Below are 21,133 nucleotides of genomic sequence, written 5' to 3' on the forward strand. Positions count from 1 at the left end.
AACTCTACTAAAAATACAAAAATTAACCAGGCTTGGTGGCACGTGCCTGTAATCCCAGCTCCTCAGGAGGCTGGGGCAGGAGAATCGCTTGAACCCGGGAGGTGGAGGTTGCAGTGAGGCAAGATCACGCCATTGCACTCCAGCCTAGGCGACAGAGCAAGACTCCGTCTCAAACAAACAAAAGAAAGAACGAATCTGTGCAGGTGACAGAGCAGAAGAACAAGGTCACTATTTACTGTAACCAACAGGTATAGGGGTCTTAGGCCATTTCTTGGTCAAGCAGATCTCAGTATGCTTCCACTCATTTTTTGGACAGATAAAATTATGTTAATCTGAATACCCTAGGTAACCGAGTAGGCAAATAAAAGTCACAAATCCTGCAGCTGGAGAGGCGATGTGAGAACCTGACTTTGTACAGGTGCAGGCATTTGTGAGGTTTGCGGCTGGTGCCTGGAGGCCTGTGTGGGCCTCTGGTCTTCTGTTGCCCCAGATGGCGGTGCCTACTTTCTGATCAGAAGCTGTTCCTTTGGGTCCCTGCCCCGCCTCAGTGGTTTGTAGCAGGGTTATAACCAGGGCTGGCCAGTCATGATAGGACCTTCCTTAGTTCTTGATTTTGCATTGTTTTGGCCATGGAGGAGAAAGTCCATTGAGTTAATGCTTATCATACTTGAATGTGCAAGGAATTATCTGAGACTTTTGTTAAAATGAAGATTCTGTTGCAGTAGATCCAGAGTGGATCTGGAGATTCTGTATTGCTAAGAAGCTCCCAGGGGATGCCAACCCTGCTGGTCCCCAGCCACACCAAGGAGAAGGATCTTAGACATCACCACCTGCAGGCTTGCTGCTAACTTTCCTTCAGCAGCTTCCTGTGGTTAGGAGCCCACATTCACTCCCCTCAGGCACCCCTGCACCCTCCCATGTGGAAGATAGGAGATCTTCCGGCCATTCCTTGTTAAAGGGTAAGATGCTGGAGCTGACTTTAGCTCACGTTTGCTTTGATTCTAAAAGCAAAACTAGACCTTTCTGGATGTTTCCTTGCTCAAGTGAGGAGAAAACCCAGGTTTTGCGTTTCTCTTTAAAGACGTTTGTAAATGAAGAGAGAAGTTTTTACAGCCTCACTTTCTGGGCCAAGAACTGCCAAGACCTTCAAACACTGACTTTTGTGGCTTTGTTTTCTGACATTTTAGGCGCAAAGTCAAGGGAATTGTGTGCTGTGTTGGAAAAGAGAAGCATGAGTTTAGGGAAAAAGAGGGCAGTGCTTATGGATTATCTAAGCTGCAAGGATTTATTTATTTTTTTTCTGAAGGACAAGTAGAGAGCCTTGGGATGAGCACAGTGCATATGGTCTCTTCCCCAGAATGACTAGATGTGCTCAGCAGAGAGGACCCTGGCTCGGAGCCCTGGCTCTGCTGTCAGCACGCGGTCGACTTTGGGCAGGCCCCTTCCGATGCCGCTGGGCCTTCTTTTGCGGAGTGGGACAAGACCCTGCTCCCTGTATGAGCCCAGTGAGAGTCAAGGAAAGTGACACACTTCTCTTGTCTTAACTTGGTGGATTTGTTTTTTTAAAACAGGCAAATGTCTAAAACATATATGAGAAAAAAAAACTAGGTGTTTCCCCTGAACATAGATTAGAGGATGATTGGAGTATATGAACTAGATATCTGAATTTGCTGGTAACATTTTGTCTACAAAAAGTGTACAGACTTAGAATTAAGTTCTGCAACAGTTTTCTGTGGTGAAATGCGTATGCTTCAATGCTTGGAACTTGTATCTGCTTTCTCTGCTAACTGATTATTAGCTGCTTGAGGAAAATGACCTCTGATTATGTGAGAAGTGGTATTATCGCATAGTAGGATCTTGCTATTCAAGAATCTAGGGCAGACTTTCTTAATGCTTCATGATTCCTGCCTCAAGGGTTAGTAATTTGAATTTTATAATCTATGCTGTAATTTGACTTACATCACAGTACTATGTCATTATCCATTTAGTTCAGTTTTCCCCGAAGTGTAAGGTGTATACTACCAGCACTGCTAGAGATGATTTTAACTGGTACTGCAAAACAGCAATTTTAAATTTTGAGTCATGGTGAGAAAGTTATCCTTTTATTTTCAATTTTATTCCTTTTGGATTGCATCTGTAAAATTTGATAACACTGTATTGTATTTGTTACATTTATCTTTTGTATCTCGTGGTGATAATAGCTTTGAATTCGTGTTAGTGATTTAAAACAATTTTCTTCCTTTAAAAATCTCATCCAAATTTTAAAAGTCAGTTTAAAAGAATGAGGCAAATGATAAAGAATGCAGGGGCTACACCAGGATGGCAAAAATTGTGAAGGTGAAATAGAGATGGGTGAAGTTAAGGAAATACTTGTCAGTATTAGCATAATGTGCCAAAGAGTTCATGAATTTATTTCTCTTATGGGGCAAATGGAACTGCAGATAGAAAAAAACATGTCCAGAGACTGCATACCTTCACTAATTATTTCATCAACTTGAGTTAACAAGAACTTAAAGGTAAGATAGTTTTAGTACAATCATCACTATCATCAGGACAGCACTGCAGACTAAGTGGACTGCCTACCAGTAGGGACATTGTCTCATCTAAAGCCTCTTCTAGAGGCTGGACTTTGAGTGCATGATTGGGTTAGTTGTCCTCTGTCCAACCACGAGATGCTGATCAATGTTTGGTCTATAGCTATGGATTTGTTTCATAAGATCTAAAACCAATCTCGAACCCTGTTGAAATGATAGCATCAAATCATGGTACTTTGTTTATGCCCTGAAAAGAGCTCGTTCTGGCAAGTGGTAACTCTAGTGTGCCTAAAAGTCCTCCTACTTAGTTATGAACAATTAACCTTTTTTGTTTGTTTGTAATAACTGTATACACACACACCAGAAGTGTGGTAGAAACAAGTTTTTACCCATGCGGACTTCAGACTTGCCACAATTAAGCCATTGTTCTCTCCTTTCTTGCAGCCTAATTTGGGCCCAAATTTAGCACTTTCTTTAGCAAACTGCCCCAGTGGCTGGACTTCATACATTACAGTAGGAGAGTTTTGTTGTCACTGTCATTGTTAAAATATCACAGGAGACATCCAGCAAAGGGAGCACGCCTCTATGCTCACTGTACCTTAGGTTGTGCTGGCTGGGCAGTGTTGAGCCCAAAGCTTGCATTCTTGCTTTGCAAATATATCCGCTTTCCCATTGTGAGCCTCCTCTCTGCCTTAACCTTTACCTTCTCTTTTGTTAGGAAGAAGAGTTAATGTAGAAAAATAAATTGCCTTCTACACACATTTTAATTTCAGATTATAATTACCTTTAAAGTAGGGGTGAAGAGGAATCAGGCTTCTGTGATGTTTTCTAATCACCTTTCCATTCTGCAAATTTCAGCGAGCATTGTTTAAACATGAAGATATGGTTTCCATTTCAAACGCTGAAAACGTTGGGATAAACTTTACACATATGTCTCTTTTGATGAGTATATTTTACACTTTTTACCCATTTTCTTCTTGCCATTCCATAGTCCTTTTCTGCTCCCATCTGGAAGGGTCTTTTCGGTCTGCTTTCAGAGGGTCAAGTGATCTTCCTTCCACTTGCTTTGTCAGAACATATATATGGAAGAGTAAACTGCCGTTCCTCTTTATTCTGTTAATATTAATATTCTGTAATCAGAAAAGTTATGACTGATGAATAAGTTGTAGGCTTACATAACTTTTTTTCTTTTACTCTTTTTTTTTTCCAAGACAGAGTTTTGCTCTTGTTGCCCAGGCTGGAGTGCAGTGGCGCCATCTTGGCTCACGGCAACCTCTGCCTCCCAGGTTCAAGTGATTCTCCTGCCTCAGTCTCCCGAGTAGCTGAGATTACAGGCGTGTGCCACCAAGCCCGGCTAATTTTGTGTTTTTAGTAGAGATGGGGTTTCTTCATGTTGATCAGGTTGGTCTAAAACACCCCACCTTAGGTGATCCACCCACCTCAGCCTCCCAAAGTGCTGGGATTACAGGCGTGAGCCACTGCGCCCGGCCTATGCTTTTTTTTTTTTTTTTTTTAGTTAGCAGGTTTGTTGTGATAGATCTGAGTTTGAGAACAACACCTTTGAATATGTTTTTTAAGTCAACAAGTTCTTCATTCAGTTACAGGTTCTCTCAATGTTTTGTCTATTTTAAATAGCTCCTTATCTTCGTACTCCATCCCTCCCTAGCTCATTCATTCACTTTATCCGTACATGCTACGCTCTGTGTTAGATCTTGACTTTTCTAAAACAATGGTGGATTTAACCGAACAGGCTAAGTTATGGAAGGAAAAATAATTGCAATGGTTTCTCCTGAAATAAAACAAAACCCTAACATATGGGATGACAGTTTCTGCTCACTTTTTAATTAGGCCGTTTCTGTAGGTATCAGGTTGATGGTTTCCAGCCACAGTGCTCACATCATTTTGATTTTGAGGCCACCCATTTTGCCGTGTGAATCTGGCTGAGCCAAATGGTGCTGAGGCTCCAGGCAGCTGAAGGTTGGATGGCATCTTTTTGTCAGGATGGTAACACCAACATGCTCGCACCACTGCAAACAGCGCTCTCCTCTTACTGAGCTAGAAAAGACAAATCTTGGAAAGGGACTTGAGCCAAGAGGGAAAGAGGGAATGAAAAGCAGTACTAAGAACTGCAATTTGAAGATTAAATATAGAAATGGTATGATTCTTAAATTAGCTTTATAAGTGTTGAATAAGTCCTTAATCTAACTAAGGTGTCGGCTCAAAGTGAATAATGAAAATGATTTTTAAAAACATAGTGGTGTGTGACTGTTGTCCCAGCTACTTGGGAGGCCAATTTGAGAGGATCACTTGAGTCCAGGAACTTGAGTTTACAATGAGCTATGATTATGCCACTGTACTCCAGACTGGGGGATAGAGCAAGTCCCTTTTTAAAAAAAAGAAAAATGATTCTGTATTCTTTTCAGTTTGAAAAAGCCTAAAACTCTGGCACTTTAAAAAATGCTTACAGTTAACAACTGTAGCTCATAATAAGATTTCTTTTTTTTTTTTTTTACTTCAAGCAGTATTTATTGAGTACTTACTAAATGTAAGGCTCTATGCTAAATTGTTCTATCCCTTAAGGAAATAACAAATAACTCTACAGGCACAATAGACAAATATAATAACTTATATTGTGGTATAAATGAAGTGCTCATTATGTTCAGAAAAGTGTCAGTAACTAGGATCAGTAGCAACTGATGTGAAAAAGACATGAAAGAAGAAAAAGACATTTTTGATTAGATGTTGGTAACAAGCAGTGTAACAGTTCTTATACTTTGGTAGCAAATTTAGAGGGAGTCAATGAGTGGGTTTCTCAGTTGGGTTGTCATTTGTCGTTTGTTAGAAATTTATTTCAAATGTTTGTTGTAGCTTTATGGAGTCAACAATATCATTAAAAATGCAGATATCTGAGTGCTTCTCTGTGAACTATTCACTGAAAATTTTAAGGTTCATCAAAAAATCAAAGAACATAATAACTAAAACTCAGTGCATAATAATAACAAAGCTATATGAATTGTCATGGGATTCTTTCTCTTTTTATTATATAGCTGATACTGTGTTGCAAAGGGTTTGCTTTGCTAGGTGAAATGTTAAGCTCTGTGCATTAGCATAGGCTATTGATTTAAAAATCTCAGTGGCTTAACACGGTGAGGAATTTTATTGCTGTTCAGTTTACAGTTTAGAGTGTGTGTGCTTATTACCTTGGGGAAGTAGGTGGTAAGAGGCTGTGCTCCATAGAGTCTTTCAGAGATCCAGGCTTCTTTCTTCTTGTGATGTCACATCTTTATTCAACTAGTGGCCACAAAGTCTTTATGGGAGGGGAAGAAAAAGGAGAATTGCATCTAGGAAATTTTTACGAACTATGCCAACAAGGTAGTGTACACCATTTCTATCAACACTCTATGGCCAATTTTATGCCCCTGACTTAATTGAATGGAGCTGGGAAATTCAGTTAGCTAGAAGAGGAGAAGAAATATGACCATTGATGACCACTAGATCATCTGCTACACCTGGCACTTAATTGAATGCTGGAATTATGTGGTTTTATGCCACTGATCACACTCAAGCCTAGTTTATTAGATGTCTCCAGGGAAACAGAACTAATAGGACACACACACACACACACACACACACACACACGTGAATATATATATATATAAATCATATATATATGAATCTATTCCTAATCTCTCTCTCTGAGACAGATTTATTAGGAATTAATTCATATATTTCTGGGGACTGAGAAATTCCAGGATTTGCCCTCTGCAGGAAAGCCAGTGGTGTAATTCCAGTCTGAGTCTGAAGGCCTGAGAACCAGGGAAGCCAGGGGTGGAAATTCCAATAGAAAGGCAGGAGAAGATGATGTTCTAGCTCAAACAGGCAAGCATGAAGCAAAAAGGGGCAAATTCCTCCTCCTTCCATCGTCTGTTCCATTCAGGTCCTGAGCAGATTGGATGATGCCCACTACATTGGGCAGAGCAGTCTCCTTTTTGAGTCTAACCAATTCAAATGCTTATCCCATCCAGGAACACCCTCACAGATACACCTAGAAATAAATACTGTTTAAATTTGGCATCCTGTGGTGCAGTGAAATTAACATATAAAAGTAACCATCACACCTAGTAAACATAGATACCACAGACACACACACATGCGCACACACACATACACACACAAAATCTCATTGCACTTTCACAACTTCCTAGTGAGTAACATGTTTATAGGAAACTCAGATGCCTGTCCAAAGAGGACAGGGTAGCCTGCCTTCCCACAACTGCACATAAATGCATAAACCTAGACATAAGTTAACATGATTGATGGCCACTGATAAGTTAATAGTTAGCATAAAACCTATGCAAGTGTTTGCGACTTTTTTATTTGAAGTTTTAAAAACTACATTCTTAAAAAATATGTTTTAGAAACTAGAGGTTTATGTTTGAGGAATCCTTGAAGTACTTCACTTTAGGCAATATGTCATCATTTTAAGTGTGTGTGTCTAGGGATCACTACCTTGGACAAATTGCTTAATCTCTCTCTGCCTCAGTTTATTCATCTGTAAAATGATTTTAATAGCACCTACTGTATAGAGATGTTTTTGACTCTTAAAAGAGGCTGTGCATGTAAATACCTCCACTAAATTAGAAGTATGCTTTTTGTTAGAAAAATTAACATAAACAACTTAGAATAGTGCCTTTCATAGAATGAACACTCCGTATAGATGCTGTAATTCTATCATCTTTCATTTTGGATCATGAAAATCTGAACTAAGCTGCGAGAGGACTGTCCAAGTAAGAATACAGGGTGGGTGTGAGGACACAAGCAGGCATGAGGGATAGAGTGATACAAGTGAGGTTTCGGCTCAAGACAACTTCTAGATACTGTGCACCCATATGCCAGCCATTGTCCTGCTTCACCACATGTGTCATTTAATCCACACACTAATTCTGTGAGGTGTGGCTATTAGCATCTCAGGGATGGCTGATGAAGAAACTGAGGCTTAAAGAAGTTGTCATGTGCCCCAAATCATACTCCTAGTTAGTGATGGACCTGAGATAAGGAACCCAGGAGGAGAGGTGCTTTTCATTGTTTTTGGAGTTTATTGAAGATAATAAGGGCAGAGCTGATAGTTATTTTGAGAGGAAGGATGGACAGTGTATAGACTAGTTACCCTCTGAATTTGAAGATAAAAACTGGAAAAAGTGATCCTAAGACATTTAAACTTGCAAAAAAACCCATAAAACTACTAGTGAATAAGTTCAACCACCTGTAGAAATGGCCAACTCTAAGAGGTGGTATCTTTGTCTGTTTGGGCTGCTATTACAAAATGCCTTAGACTGGATAATTTATAAACAAGAGAAATGTATTGCTCACAGTTCTGGAGGCTGGGAAGTCCAAGATCCAGGTGCTGGCAGATTCAGCGTCTCATGAATACTTGTTCTCTGCATCAAAGATGGTGCCTTGTTGCCATGTCCTCACATTGTGGAAGGGCAGGGGAGCTCGTATTACCCCCTTCTATTTTCTTTTTATTGTTCCATCTTCCTCTAGTTGAGTGTCTTTTATAAAGGCACTAATCCCATTCATGAGGGCAGAGTCCTCCTGACTTACTTCCCAAAGGCTATACCTTTTAATAGTATCACATTGGGCATTCATTTTGAACAGGTGAATTTGGGGAATACCAACATTCAGGTGGTATTACATAAATAACAGGTGGTTCATATTTTTTTTTTTTTTTTTTTTGAGACGAAGTTTCGCTCTGTTGCCCAGGCTGGAGCGCAATGGTGTGATCTCGGCTCACTGCAACCTCTGCCTCCCAGGTTCAAGTGATTCTCCTGCCTCAGCCTCCTGAATAGCTGGGATTACAGGCGCTCACCACCACGCCCAGCTAATTTTTGTATATTTAGTAGAGACGGGGTTTCACCATGTTGACCAGGCTGGTCTTCAACTCCTGACCTCAGGTTATCCACCTGCCTTGGCCTCCCAAAGTGCTGGGATTACAGGTGTGAGCCACTGCACCCAGCGTGTAAATCTTTTATGGCTAGAAATGGGGTATCATCCCATAAAAAGTAGAAGAGCTTTCACAGAAAGATCTGACATAACATTTCTGGGGTAACTGTTGTGCTGTCTTGGCAAAAGGTTGAAGCATTGCCAGAAGTGTAGTGATAATCAGGAAAGACAAATACTAGGAATGTATTGGTTTTACCTTTGAAGGAAAAGTAAAGGGATTTGATAACATGAGTGTCCCAGGTCCCTTGGAAGCAGGTGTAGCTTTCTTCTATGGAGATGACTTTGTCCATCTCTGATTACTGATGATGAAAATCATCCCGTGATCCTTTCTCAAGGTGTGGATATTCACTAAGCACTGTGATGGGGCATCTAATTTTCTGATATGGGTGCTGAGGAGAGGTGATACACTAACGTGATGACATCAGTACCTAGTTCCATTAGCATTCACATTGGTCACAAGGAAATTTTCTTAGTGTGGCACATTTCCATAGTCATATCTTCTCTGAGCAAACCAACTGACCTGGCAACTGGTCAACTCTGACCTGGTTAGCCACCAAGTTTTGTCTCACTGGTAGTGTACTACACGAGGCTCTGCTTCAAGCAGCCAATAAGCTTGCCTCTTTGAAGTTCTTCTTTGCAATATAGAGTAGCGTTAATTCAGCAGGTTTCCTTGTTTTAACTTGGTATCAATGAAGTGAGTTAAATTTGACCTATCCCTGAGAAGACTAAGAAGAGCACTCCAAGAAGGGTAGAGAAATCAGTTATTAGGATCATTTATTTTCTGGTTTATGTTCTTTAAAGTACATGTTCTTTGTTGAGAATTAATAGTGAAATATAAAGAAACATTGTTGAAAAGCAAAGAGAACTGTGTGAATCCTTCTCATCAACATATTTATTGGGTGCTTACTGTGTACCAGGTATGAGGCTAAGTACTTCATATGTATTATATTATCTCATTTAATCTTCAAACTGTCTCCGAGAAATAAGCTTGCCATCTCCTTTTTACAGGTGACAAAACTGAGTCTCAGGTTAGAAACTTTGATTGTGTGACTCATGAGTAGTGAATTGGTATTTTGTCTCAAGTTTGTTGAACTCTAAAATCATAATTCTGTCTCCCTAGTATAAAAACATTTATATCCCACTACCCAGAAATAATCATTAACATTTTTGTACATTTTATTTATCTTTTTCTCTTTTCATTTCTGTTTTATAAAATTGGGATCATTTAACAAATAGATATTCCTATCTTGCTTTTTATTCACTTAACATAGGTTGTAAGCATTTGTCATGCCATTGTTTGCACTTAAGCACAAGTTTTTTAAAAAGGCAGATTAATCAATAACTTTTGCCTTTTCTATAACATGAACATCAACAGGAAGCTATTAGGTTTCAAAGGTAAGGTTGATGTGTGGTAGATAATCGACAAGACAGGGGGATTTCCAGAAGGTTGTGATAAGTTAAAAGTCAGCCAGACAGAGTGAAGAAAGAGGTGAGTAAGCAGTTTCAAAGTCTTTACCTGATTTGGGCTTCCTGGTACCCAGGGCCATGTAGGTACAGAGGGAAAGAATGTGGGCAGAGGCAGGCCAAACAAATGTGCAGCTTTTAAAAGATACTCTGAAGCAATCAGCCTGTATTTATGTAACAAAACACTCTGCTTATAGAGGTGCTTGGTGAAAGTATCATACCATGAACATTAACAGTTGATGTCTTGAAGTATTTAATCTTTGTTTTACAAAATGTTAAAGAACAAGCCTTCCATTCAGCGAGTGAATGAATGAGTGCTGGGTTAAGATGAACAAGTGGGTCTGAGCAAATTAGGCAAAACTGGAAGGTTGAGTGCCAGTAACTCAACACAGGCCCAACACAAAAGGTAGCCCAGAGCCAGTGGGGAAACCTAAGTAACACCAGAGAGGCTGAGGAGGACTGAAGTCTCTCTGCAGAGGCCGAAACGAAGTTGGCACAGCAGCAAGCACCTCGGGGACCTGAGGGAGTCTTTGGAATTTCCTGCTTCCTCATCTTACATTGAATGTGCTGCCTGTATTGTGGTGTGCCTGTTTACCTGGGTAGGAACTGATGGGCCACAGCATGGCAAGGACCTGTGCCCATTTGACATTAGCCATAAGTGGAGTCAAATGCCATGGAAATGTGCTTTATCACAATCACAGGGAGCACCTTTGCTTTAAGAAGGCCTTCCTCACCCCACCCCAGCCCCCTTTTAGGTCCTTGCTCTATTCAGGAGCTATGCATTATGTCGTTGGAGAAGATAAATTCCTTCTGCTCTTCCTCCTCATCAGGGCCCTGCCTTTGGGTCTTGTCTCAAACTACTCAGCCTTCAGTTTTGAACAATTGGAGCATGGTAAAGAGGTCTCCTTTTTGCAGCTCATTGGCATCTTCTGAGCAGATGCTTTGGTCTTCTGGAGCCCTTTCTCACTGCCAGTTGAGTTTATTCTTATCTCCAAAACCCTTCTTTACTGTGCTAGCAACTGTTCTGTCCTTCCTTAGGGATCCAAATTGTAAGAGATAAACTCAAAGAAATGTTCTAAATAAAGGCCACATATTTCATTATGAATAGCACAGCAAGCAATAGTGAAAGTCTTGGCAACAGTGTATGCTTCATTGTGATAAGGGACGTAGGGACAGGAACGAATTTTTAGAATGAGTTTTATTCTTTCATGAACATTTAACCAGTGCCATGAATTTGGGTTCTGTGCTAGAAGCTAGAGATAAATCAGTTTAGCAGTGGCTCTTGAGGGATTTAGGCCAGAAGGGTGGAAGGACCAAGTCCATCCGTGATGACACAGGACAGTGTGGAAAGTCCTGTCTCAGAGGTATTCCTGAAGGAGCTGGGAGGTTGTGGGGCATGCTCCATCATTTTGGGGGAAGTAAGCAGTATCAAAAAGACTTCCTGGGAAACATGACACTTAGGCTCTGAGCAGCAAGATGCAGATAGAGACAAATATCTGCATTTGTCTCAGAAGGTCATTTCTGGGCAGATGAAATAACATGAATGTGTGTCTGAAGGTTTGAAATAGCATGATGAATTTGGGGAAATGCAAGAAATTACTGGAGCCGGTGGAAAGAGATGAAGCTAGAGAGGGAGATGACAGCAAGATCACAAAAGGCTTGTGTGTTTGCTAAGGAATATTTTCTTGAAAGCTGTGGGGAATCATGAAAGGGTTTCAGGCAGGGGAATGGCTCACATATCACCCTGGCCCTAGCAGGGAGCATGAAGTCGATTAAGGACAGCCTGGATGTGGGAGGCCAGGCATCTATGTCAGGGGTGGAGGGCCTTGAGAGGGGATCAGTAGAAGAGAAGATCTTGGACCAGGCATGAGGACAACTAGCTGGTAGCTTGCTGGAGCGGGAGGGAGAGGTTTTGGGTCTGGATAAGTTCCCACTTCCCACCACAGGTAAGATGGGAGAGGCTGAAGAAATGATCAGGTCTGAGGGTAAAAGATGAGTTTATCTGTGGACATGTGGAGGGTGAGATGCCGTTGGAGTATCTAGATGGAGCTGTTCAGTAGGCAGATGAATATAAAGTTCTGAGGCTCAGGGGAGAAACTTTAATAGGAGATACAGGTTTGAGAGTCATCCATCTGTCGGTGATGGTTCAAGCCACAGGTAGGAATGAAGTCAGTCAGGGAGAGGACATGGAATTGGAAAGGCAGATGAGCTTGCAGAATATCCCTGCTCAAGGGAAAGCAGAGAAAGAGGGGCCCTTGTAAGATTCTGAGAAGGAACAGCAGGAAGACTGGTCAGCAGTGGGGACTGGTAGTGTGGGAGCCAAGCAACAGAACGACAGAGCAGAGGTCATCACTTTAAACCTTATGGAGGTGACTGATTGCATGGGCTGGAGCTACTGTGCAGATTAATGGATGAAGCGTTGTCATCGGTGAAACTGCCCAGGCATAACCTATAGAAAGGCAGAACCTTGGGAAGCACCATTGTTAAAGGACTGGTGAAAAGAAACTTGAGTAAGAGACTGGGAAGCAACAGGCAGGGAAACAAAGAAATTCTCGAGAGCTTTTATGATGGAACTTAAGGCAGGGCAGCACATTCAGAAGGGCTGTGGTGTAAAATGGGGGCAGAGTAGTCAATAAACGTGCACTGAAAAGTTTCCGTTGGATCTGGCATTTGGGAGGTCATCTGTGACACCAAAGACAGTGTCAAAAGTGGTTCACAGCCCACATTGCTTGTTGTTTTATGCTTTTTCCCTTGACTGTTTTTGAAAGATCAGAGGAAGGCTTGAAACATATCCACAATTACCTTGAGGAAACAGCAGCGATCACTGTTTCCTGCTGGATCTGCCAGTTCTAAGGGATGTGAGCAATTATTCTGGTGGTATGTGTCTTGGACAGCTAACAATGATATAATTAATGGAGGAATTTCATAACACTCTGCTCATAATGTGTACATGTTTGATCAGCGTCTGGCATGGGTGTAAGCCATCCAGGCATTGCTGTTGCCACTACAAGGCAGACCCAGTAGGCAAAAGGTGGGAGTAGCTAGTCACCAATTATCTCCTTCTGGAGTCTGGTCGTTGGCCATGGTTAGGACCAGGGTGGTCTCTGGCCATTTCAGGTATGTTATTCCATGTTAAGTGTTGAGAACCACAGGCAGTTAGTAGTCCCTCCTTCTAAGACTCTACTAATTGCATTTATCTCATTGTGTTTCCAAGTTTATTTCACTTTGGGATTTTTTTTTTTTAATTATAAAAGCAATATATGGTCATTAGAAAAAGTCAATGGAGGCAAGTAAAAGAAAAGTCAACAGACTGCCCTTCCCACTTCCAGACTCTCCCTGCCCTGGTGGAGGGTTGCCAATGTTGGTGTCACACTGTATTGGGCTTATTTTTATGATAACCCTCTCCCCCTCTGTGTTATGAGATCATAGTGGCCAGAGACTGTCCCTCTTGTATTCATCTTTGCCTCCTTACCTTCTGCCACATGGCCTGACATAAATAATCAGGGCCCATCATATATCAGTTGCTTAAATAATCAGATAAATGAAAGAATGAGTGAATGGAGTGATTTTTTAGGCTTTGCCCTTGGGACCATTGTTTCCATCCCTTTCACTGTAATTTTAGAGATAAACTGGATACAAGAGGAGAGCACCATTTTTGTCACTTTTTGATTTGTAGGAATGCTTATTATATGGATGGTGCTGTGTGACAAGGTATGGGGTTTACAGCCCCTTTATCCTGCTAGAGGCACAGATTTATTGAATTATGTAGATAAAGTTAATCTCATTTAGAAACTGGTAGATGACTGGCAGAGAATAAATCAGAGATGATGGGTGTAGCACTTCCATGGAATTATAAGATGTAATATTTGTAATATATTTTAAGTTTTTAAAATGCTTCTTTTAAAGAACTTAAAATGTATTATAAATATCACATCTTTTAATTAGTTCTTATATTACTTCTATACAGTCTAGAAACTTACTACGCACTCTCTGCATGTCAGGCACTGGGATATTATCACAAGTATAGCAGAAGGAAGATTCTTGGCTAAGAGAGGACAAAACACGGTCATATCCCTAGAGACATTCAAACCATGTGGACAAAGCTGCCTCTGTAGGTTTGAAAGGGAAGATAGAGAAAAATATCTTGAAGGTCAGCACAGAGAAAGGGGACATTCAGGAGTGATGGAAGCAAGAATTATTTTTACTTAGATTTTGGATTATGGCCTGTTTTCCTTCACTTCGAGCAGTTGTTTCTCCCAAGTGGGCTCTGGAACCACCTATATAGAATTCTTATTAAAATTGCATTTTTCTACCTCCTAAGGAATATGCAATCCAAATTTCCAGAGCAGGAACCCAGGAGTCTGCATTTTAAGAAATGCATGCAACTTTAAGAAAATTCATGCAACTCTAAATTGCAGCTAGGAGCCATTCATAAAATAGCATGACAGAACCTGAGCATTTCCTGACTGGGTCAAGACCCTAAACAGCATTTAGACCGAAAGGATGTCTTTACATTATGATCTTTTTCAGATAAGTCCGTGGAACAATGGCTTTACTACGTCCAGAAAATTATTTTTGCCCAGTTCAAAATTCAAGCATCTATTATAATGACCTGGATTACCAGGCCATTGTGACACCAACATTGGCATCCTTCTGCCAGGGTAGGGAGAGTCTGGAAATAGGAGGGGCAGGTTGTTGACTTTTCCTTTACTTGTTTCTATTGACTTTTTATAATGACTATATATTGCTTTATAATTAAAAAAAAATCCCAGAATGAAATAGACTTGGAAACACAATGGGATAAATGCAATATTATAATCTTAGAGCGAGGGAACACTGTCTGTCTGTGGTCCTCAACACTTAACATGGAATAACAGGCTTGAAGTGGCCAGAGCCCATGCTGGTCACAACCATAGCCAATGACCAAGAGAAAACTGGTGACTGGTTACTTCCACCTCAGCAAAAGCTAACATTCCACCTTCTCTCTCCCTTTCACCCTAAGTTTGGATGACAGTGCCTATGAGAATTGCTTTAGGACATAGAAATTGATCCAGTATCCCACAGTATATCATTTTCAGAGTGAGATTCAGCTGAAACACACTATATATTTTATTCTGATTCTCAGTCTTGAATTTTCTATAATTTGTAAGACAGTACTGGTTCTGCAAAATTTTCTCATAACAGTACGTCATAAGCACCACTCATTATAATTCTAAAAAAGGACTAAAACATTCATTCAATGGCAGAGCCAGAAGAATATATGTGCATGCTTCATTGATGAATACTTTGAAGGGGATAATACCAATTTCAATGTGTAAGTTCTGATATGTTTCCTTTTATGAAGTTTAAATGTATTAGAAATATTTTACCTTTTCATCTGTAAGTTGACAACTTATAATTTTTAAGCTCTTAAGCTCTTTACAGTATTTCTTTGAAAAATGTGAACATGTTTTTGAATTCTTTTTAGAATGCTTTTTGTACTCCATTTTCTGGTTTAATCTTTTTTAAAGGGTTACTTTTGAAAAGATGTACTTGTATTATAGTAGAAGGATTTTTTTTAAGATCAATTTTATTTCAAAATGAGAAGGCAGTTAAATTAGATCCAAACAGTCCTGCTTTTCATCCATTTCCCACCACCTCCTTTCCCCATCCGCAACTAAACAAAACAGCTTTCCCTTGTCACATTGCTATTGTTACTTCCCATTGGAGGCAGTTTAACAAAGCCTTCAGTGCAGGCTCTAAAGGTTGGATCTGCTTCAATGTAAGAGCAGAAATAGCTTTATTATGGGGGTGAAGTGTGGATGGGAGCCATGAGTAATTGTCAGATACCACACTAAAATGGGCAGGGCAACATGGACGGAGCTGGAGGCCACTATCCTACGGGAATTAACGCAGGAACAGAAACCCAGATAATGCAGGTTCTCACTTATAAGTGGGCGCTAAACACTGAGAACACATGGACACAGAAGGGAACGACAGACACTGGGGCCGCTTTTAGGGTGACGGGTGAGAGAAGGGTTGAGGATTGAAAAACTGCCTATTGGGTATTATTATGCTGATTACCTGGTACACCAGATTCCTGTGACACACAATTTACCCATGTAACAAATTTGCATGTGTACCTTTTGAACCTAAAATAGAAGTTAAAAAAAAATAAAATAAAATGGCCAGGTCCTCATTGGCAGTGGTTCTCAACTGCATGTTAGATTCACCTACCTGCATGTAGGTGTTGTTGTTAATGTCCTTGAACAATGCCCGAGTCCTACCCCAGGCTGACTTTTCCAATTCTCAGGGGACGGTGGTCCCAGGTGATTTTGATCTCAGCCAGAGCTGAGAACCACTAAAGTTAAATCCCTCAGTGTTTTTTAGAGGTTGCCATTAGACCTCCTTTATCTGAATCTCCAAGAGTGCTGGGTTAAAGTGTAAATTCCTTCTCGTCATCCTAGATCTGCTGAATCAGTCGCTGGGAGTGGGACCAGACCATTCTTTAAGCGGGTCAGATGATTCTTTTGTGCTCTGAAGTTTGAGAATCCCCAGCCTCTGGGATAACCAGTGGTTATATTAAACCTGGATTAGGGATGTGCTTTGGAAAACAGTGGTGAGACTATTGAGAATCAGTGTTCTAGCTAGTTTATCTGGGCCAAAGGGCTTCTCCTGCCCTTCTGGAAAAGTGTGTTCACTCCTGGCCCTGCACCCTCCTCTCACCTTCTCTGTGTGTTACCCAGAGAAGGTTTTTTGGGTCTGAATGACTCATTCAGCCTGTGGCTGAGTCTCTAATTGACAAACACTATAGTTCGGGCGTGTGAGAGGAGAACACATAGTAGGATGTCTGTCCCAGCTGACAAGAATCATAGATCCTATTTGGAAAGATAAGTGTTGCTTAGAAAGGCAGCACAGAGGGATGGAAGCTGGTAGCATTGAATTCATGCCGAAAGAGTGAGCCTGACCATAGAGGCTTATTTGCTGTTCAGGGGAGGAAAAGATTCCCATGGCCTAAGGAAGGTGGAGAAGACTTCAGAGAAAGTTAAAGACTTCATTTCTGGATCAAAGCATTCATCCATTGGAAGACTCCATTTCTCTAGAGAATTCTGGTATGAACATACCAGTAGTTGTAATTTTGGCCATATTAAATGGGAATGATTAAAATGAGCTGTAATGTTGAGTGAAAGATATGTATCAGATGAATACAACTTTTTTCCCCTCATTTTTGATATTTGATTGCTGTCTTCTTGAAGTAGCCATTAACCTGAATCGTGTGTGTGTGTGTGTGTGTGTGTGTGTGTGTGTGTGTGTATGTTTATGTATATAGTTTTGGAAGAAGAGTAAGTAAAAAGTGCCAAACTGTCCACATTTTTTTCTGCACATTATCCCATATGAAACCTCACATTTAATATTCTGGAATTCACCTTTACTTTGTGTGTGTGTGAATCAGCATCTTGTACCCCAGGACATGTTTGTGTTTATTTAAGCCAACTCCGTGTGGGAGGAAAAGCTGAGGTATAAGGGTTATTTTGGTAATTGTGGCTTTAGGTGAAAACCTTTTTGATTAGGAAAAATTTCTGCCAGCGCAAGTACCAAGAATTGTGCAAAATAAAATTTTACAAAGGCCGTCTCTCTTTCCTGCCTCCCCTTCTGTACCATCAGGAGACCCATGCCGCTCAGCCTGTGTATGCTCTGGAAAGGCTGCTTGGAATTATGGCTTTGTCTACAAGGCTGGCTGCCTCCTCAGTGAGTCTGTGGTGGTTGGAATAATATGATAAATGGGATGCATTTGAAAAAAATTCTCCATTTAACATTTTTTTCCCCCTGCACACCCGGAACAACAGCTGTGGTAGCAAATGCAGACTTGGCTCATGGATTCATATTTAGTCTTGTTTGACAATTCCAGATATTTTTAAGCAGGATTGAGTCAGGCAGCCCACAGCACGGCATTCAAACTGTCTTAATCAGCCAGCCTGTTTGGCACACAAGGACTTTGTTTTATCCTAGTAGTAAATAATTCTAAATCAAGCAATATGATGTACTGAATGTACCCAAAGTCACAGCATTCAGTATTTTACTACAGCCTGTCAGCATCTCTTTTTACATGCTTGTTCTGTTCACTGCTAGTTGTTTTATTCATTATAGCTTTTGAATTCCATTCTTGGCCAGGTCTGGATTCATGGTTTTCATACATAATAGGATCCTATGTTTTCTGCCCTGTGGCCCTTCCTCCCTGCCCTCCTCCCTTTACATAGCATTGCCAAGTAGATGCAGTGTTCATTTTTGCCCAGAAGGGTTTCCTATTGTGACACCTCATTTCCTTCTTAGGATCATGGGATTTTGTCGTTTGCCTCTTCTGTGGATGAGTGAATCTCATCCCAAGAGCCTGTTTTCGATGTATGGGGTTTCTTACACTGTTCCAGGTCTTCCGCTCCCGGGCTCTTCTTCATCTCTCCACGTAGATAGGTCTCTGAAGTCTTTATGTTCAAGCCCTCCCTTCAGCTCTGTGGCTGTCCTTGCTGCCTTCTGAAGAAGGACTTTGTTTGTCTTGTCTACCTCTCTGCTAGCTCCTCAGATTTTCCAGATAAGTCAAACCCGAAAACATCAGAATGAACTTTCCCTTGACCTTGGTATTCTCCTCAAGCTATTCACCCTTTTTCTCTTCTGGTTGCCAGGCTTTTTGAAGGTATACTCTACCCCATGTTCTCAGATGTGGAGATTTAACAGAACAGTGTAATTTTTTTAATGGGATCTGACACAGGATTGCTAACTATTTTGATAATAAAAATATATCACCGTCATTTAGTAAAAGACAAAGATTTCAACCCACTAGTCAGGATATAATCTCAGATTAAACAACAGTCCTTTTAAGTAAATAAATTCAGCTTTATTATCAGAAAACCTTTCTCTCCACTTCTTTCATTTTGCCAACTGTGAATACTGTGTCTCCGACTAGAATTTGACAACAACTGTGCATGCTCACTCTGTCTGCCTCCTCTTTATCTACTGCCTTCTCAATCTTTGTAAAAATAGTTTGGCGTTCCCTCAAACCACTCTGCCCTTGTCCTCTCAAAGATGACCACGGATTCCTGACAGCCAGGCCCACGTCTGTCTTACCTGTTGTGTTGCCACAATGATCCCCCCTCTGGGTGACTCTCTGCTCTTTTGACTTCTGGGACTACTCCGCAGTTCTCTTCCCCTCTGCCTCCTGGGTCTCCACAGAAGCCTGTGTCTTGTTCCCCTCCTCATAACAGCAGGTTCACTTCCCGGCAAACTTGCTTCCTCTCTCCCCACACTGCTCATCCACCCCCATCTCTGTGTAAAATGAGTACCAAATGGTATCTTGGAACCTCAGGCTTTGTTTCTGACTCCTCATTTTGTCTCTCCATATGCATTCCTCCAGCATTTTTGACTCCTGCAATGTATCTGGAGCTGATCAAATCTGACTTCAGACCCTCAACCGCTACTTTGCAGTCTTCCTCGGCCACGAGGCAGATGGCTGGAATTTCAGAGCCCTGCTCTTTCACATGTCAGCAGAATGACCTTGGACAATTTATTTAATGTTTCCAAGCCTGCTTCTGCATCTGTTAATGGGACTCCTGCTATCTATCTCAATACTTGTGGCAAAGATTAGAGAGAATGCATGCAAAGTGCCAGTCATGATACCCGGTACATAACAGGCCCTCAAAAATGGCAGCTCTTCTTGTGTGGAGTTATATAGTCAAAGAGGGCTTGGAGGGAAGTAATTCATTCCCCTTTGCACTTTTCCTGATCTGAGCCTGTCCTCTGCTGTTTCTCCCAGTGCCTAGGACTTACCACTTATGTCTAAAGTGGCAGTGACACCAGCTGTCAGGTGACTAATTTTAACAAAGCCTTCTTTGAGCAATCGATAGTTGGAAAGCAATTCCAGATTTTCATTGGAAATAGAAATATTGTGCTTAAAAAATATAAAGTGTCCATATGGCTGAAAGGAGGCGATTGCGTGTGCACTCTTGATACCATGGCAGCCAGCTGGAGCACAGGCGCCAGCTCAGCATCGGCCAGGATGAGCCATAGTGCACATTTTCTTAGCAGGAGTTGATGTAGCATTTTGAGAATTCAGTGTGCTAACAAGAATATTAATCTGCTGTAATAATTCCTCTCCTCTCATAGTAGAGGACAGTGTTGTATGGGAAGAAGATCAAGTTCTATGTAATCTTGCTTTTGCATTATCCATAGCACTTTAATATTGGTAAATATAGAAGGTGATCAGTACAGATGTTAATAGTTTACATGAGAAGCATGAGAAGGAAAACCTAAGTGGGCTTACCTGTAGGTCACATCTTATATATTTTCTCCTTAAACACTCAAAACACAAACGTAATTAGACTCAAATGGGGAAATTGTTTATCTTGAGCAAGTCCCAAGGTGACGTAAAGAATGTCTGTGCAGAAGGTTGTTAGTCTTTGATATCTACATGCAATTGCTGATTCCTGTTAGGGTTCCCTCTGCCTCTGGACCTCTTGATGGGACAGTTCGTGGAGTAGTTTTATTATTGAGGGTACTATTTGTTTATGCCATATTATTTTTTGTTTGTCTCTGATTTGTTTTAACATCAGCGATGTGGCAGTGAGGGTACTGTCTTCAAATTCTTGATTGCTTATGCAGTTACATGTTTTTTAAATCTAATATTAGATACTAATGACAGAGAACTTACTTAATGACTCAGTCTTTCTTTTTTTTTTTGAGACAGAGTCTTGCTTTGCCACCAGGCTGGAGTACAGTGGTGTGATCTCGGCTCACTGCAACCTCTACCTCCCAGGATCACGTGATTCTTTTGCCTCAGCCTCCTGAGTAGCTGGGATTACAGGCACGCGCCACCATGCCCAGCTAATTTTTGTATTTTTAGTAGAGATGGGGTTTCACCATGTTGGCCAGGATGCTTTCGACCTCCTGACATTGTGATTCACCTGCTTCAGCCTCCCAAAGTGCTGGGATTACAGGCATGAACCACTGCGCCTGGCTAAGACTCAGTTCTTTCTATATTGACAGAGGTCTTGATATTTCCTTCCTCTGGTTTGAGTGTGTCCAGGTTGAGAGGAGACCAAGAAAGCATATGCCCCAGGCCTTACCAGTTGGTATGAAAAGTGACCCACATGTAAAAACCATCC

General features: G+C 41.1%; 1 protein-coding gene across 5 annotated transcripts in view; it reads left to right on the forward strand.

The window, feature by feature from the left end:
• Positions 1–21,133, forward strand: part of LRRC1 (leucine rich repeat containing 1) — a 129,121-nt gene that overhangs the window by 50,028 nt on the left and 57,960 nt on the right. Inside the window, exon 1 of one of the 5 annotated variants that reach the window (XM_011514727.3) lies at positions 5,562–5,906. The exons of the other annotated variants lie outside the window; for them this stretch is intronic. Coding sequence (XP_011513029.1) covers positions 5,807–5,906 — 100 coding nt within the window. The 5' untranslated portion in view covers positions 5,562–5,806. Of the gene's footprint in view, positions 1–5,561; positions 5,907–21,133 lie in introns of those variants that run through there. 5 annotated transcript variants of the gene reach the window in all.

The sequence above is a fragment of the Homo sapiens genome, chromosome 6 (genome assembly GCF_000001405.40).
Source record: "Homo sapiens chromosome 6, GRCh38.p14 Primary Assembly".
NCBI lineage: Eukaryota > Metazoa > Chordata > Mammalia > Primates > Hominidae > Homo > Homo sapiens.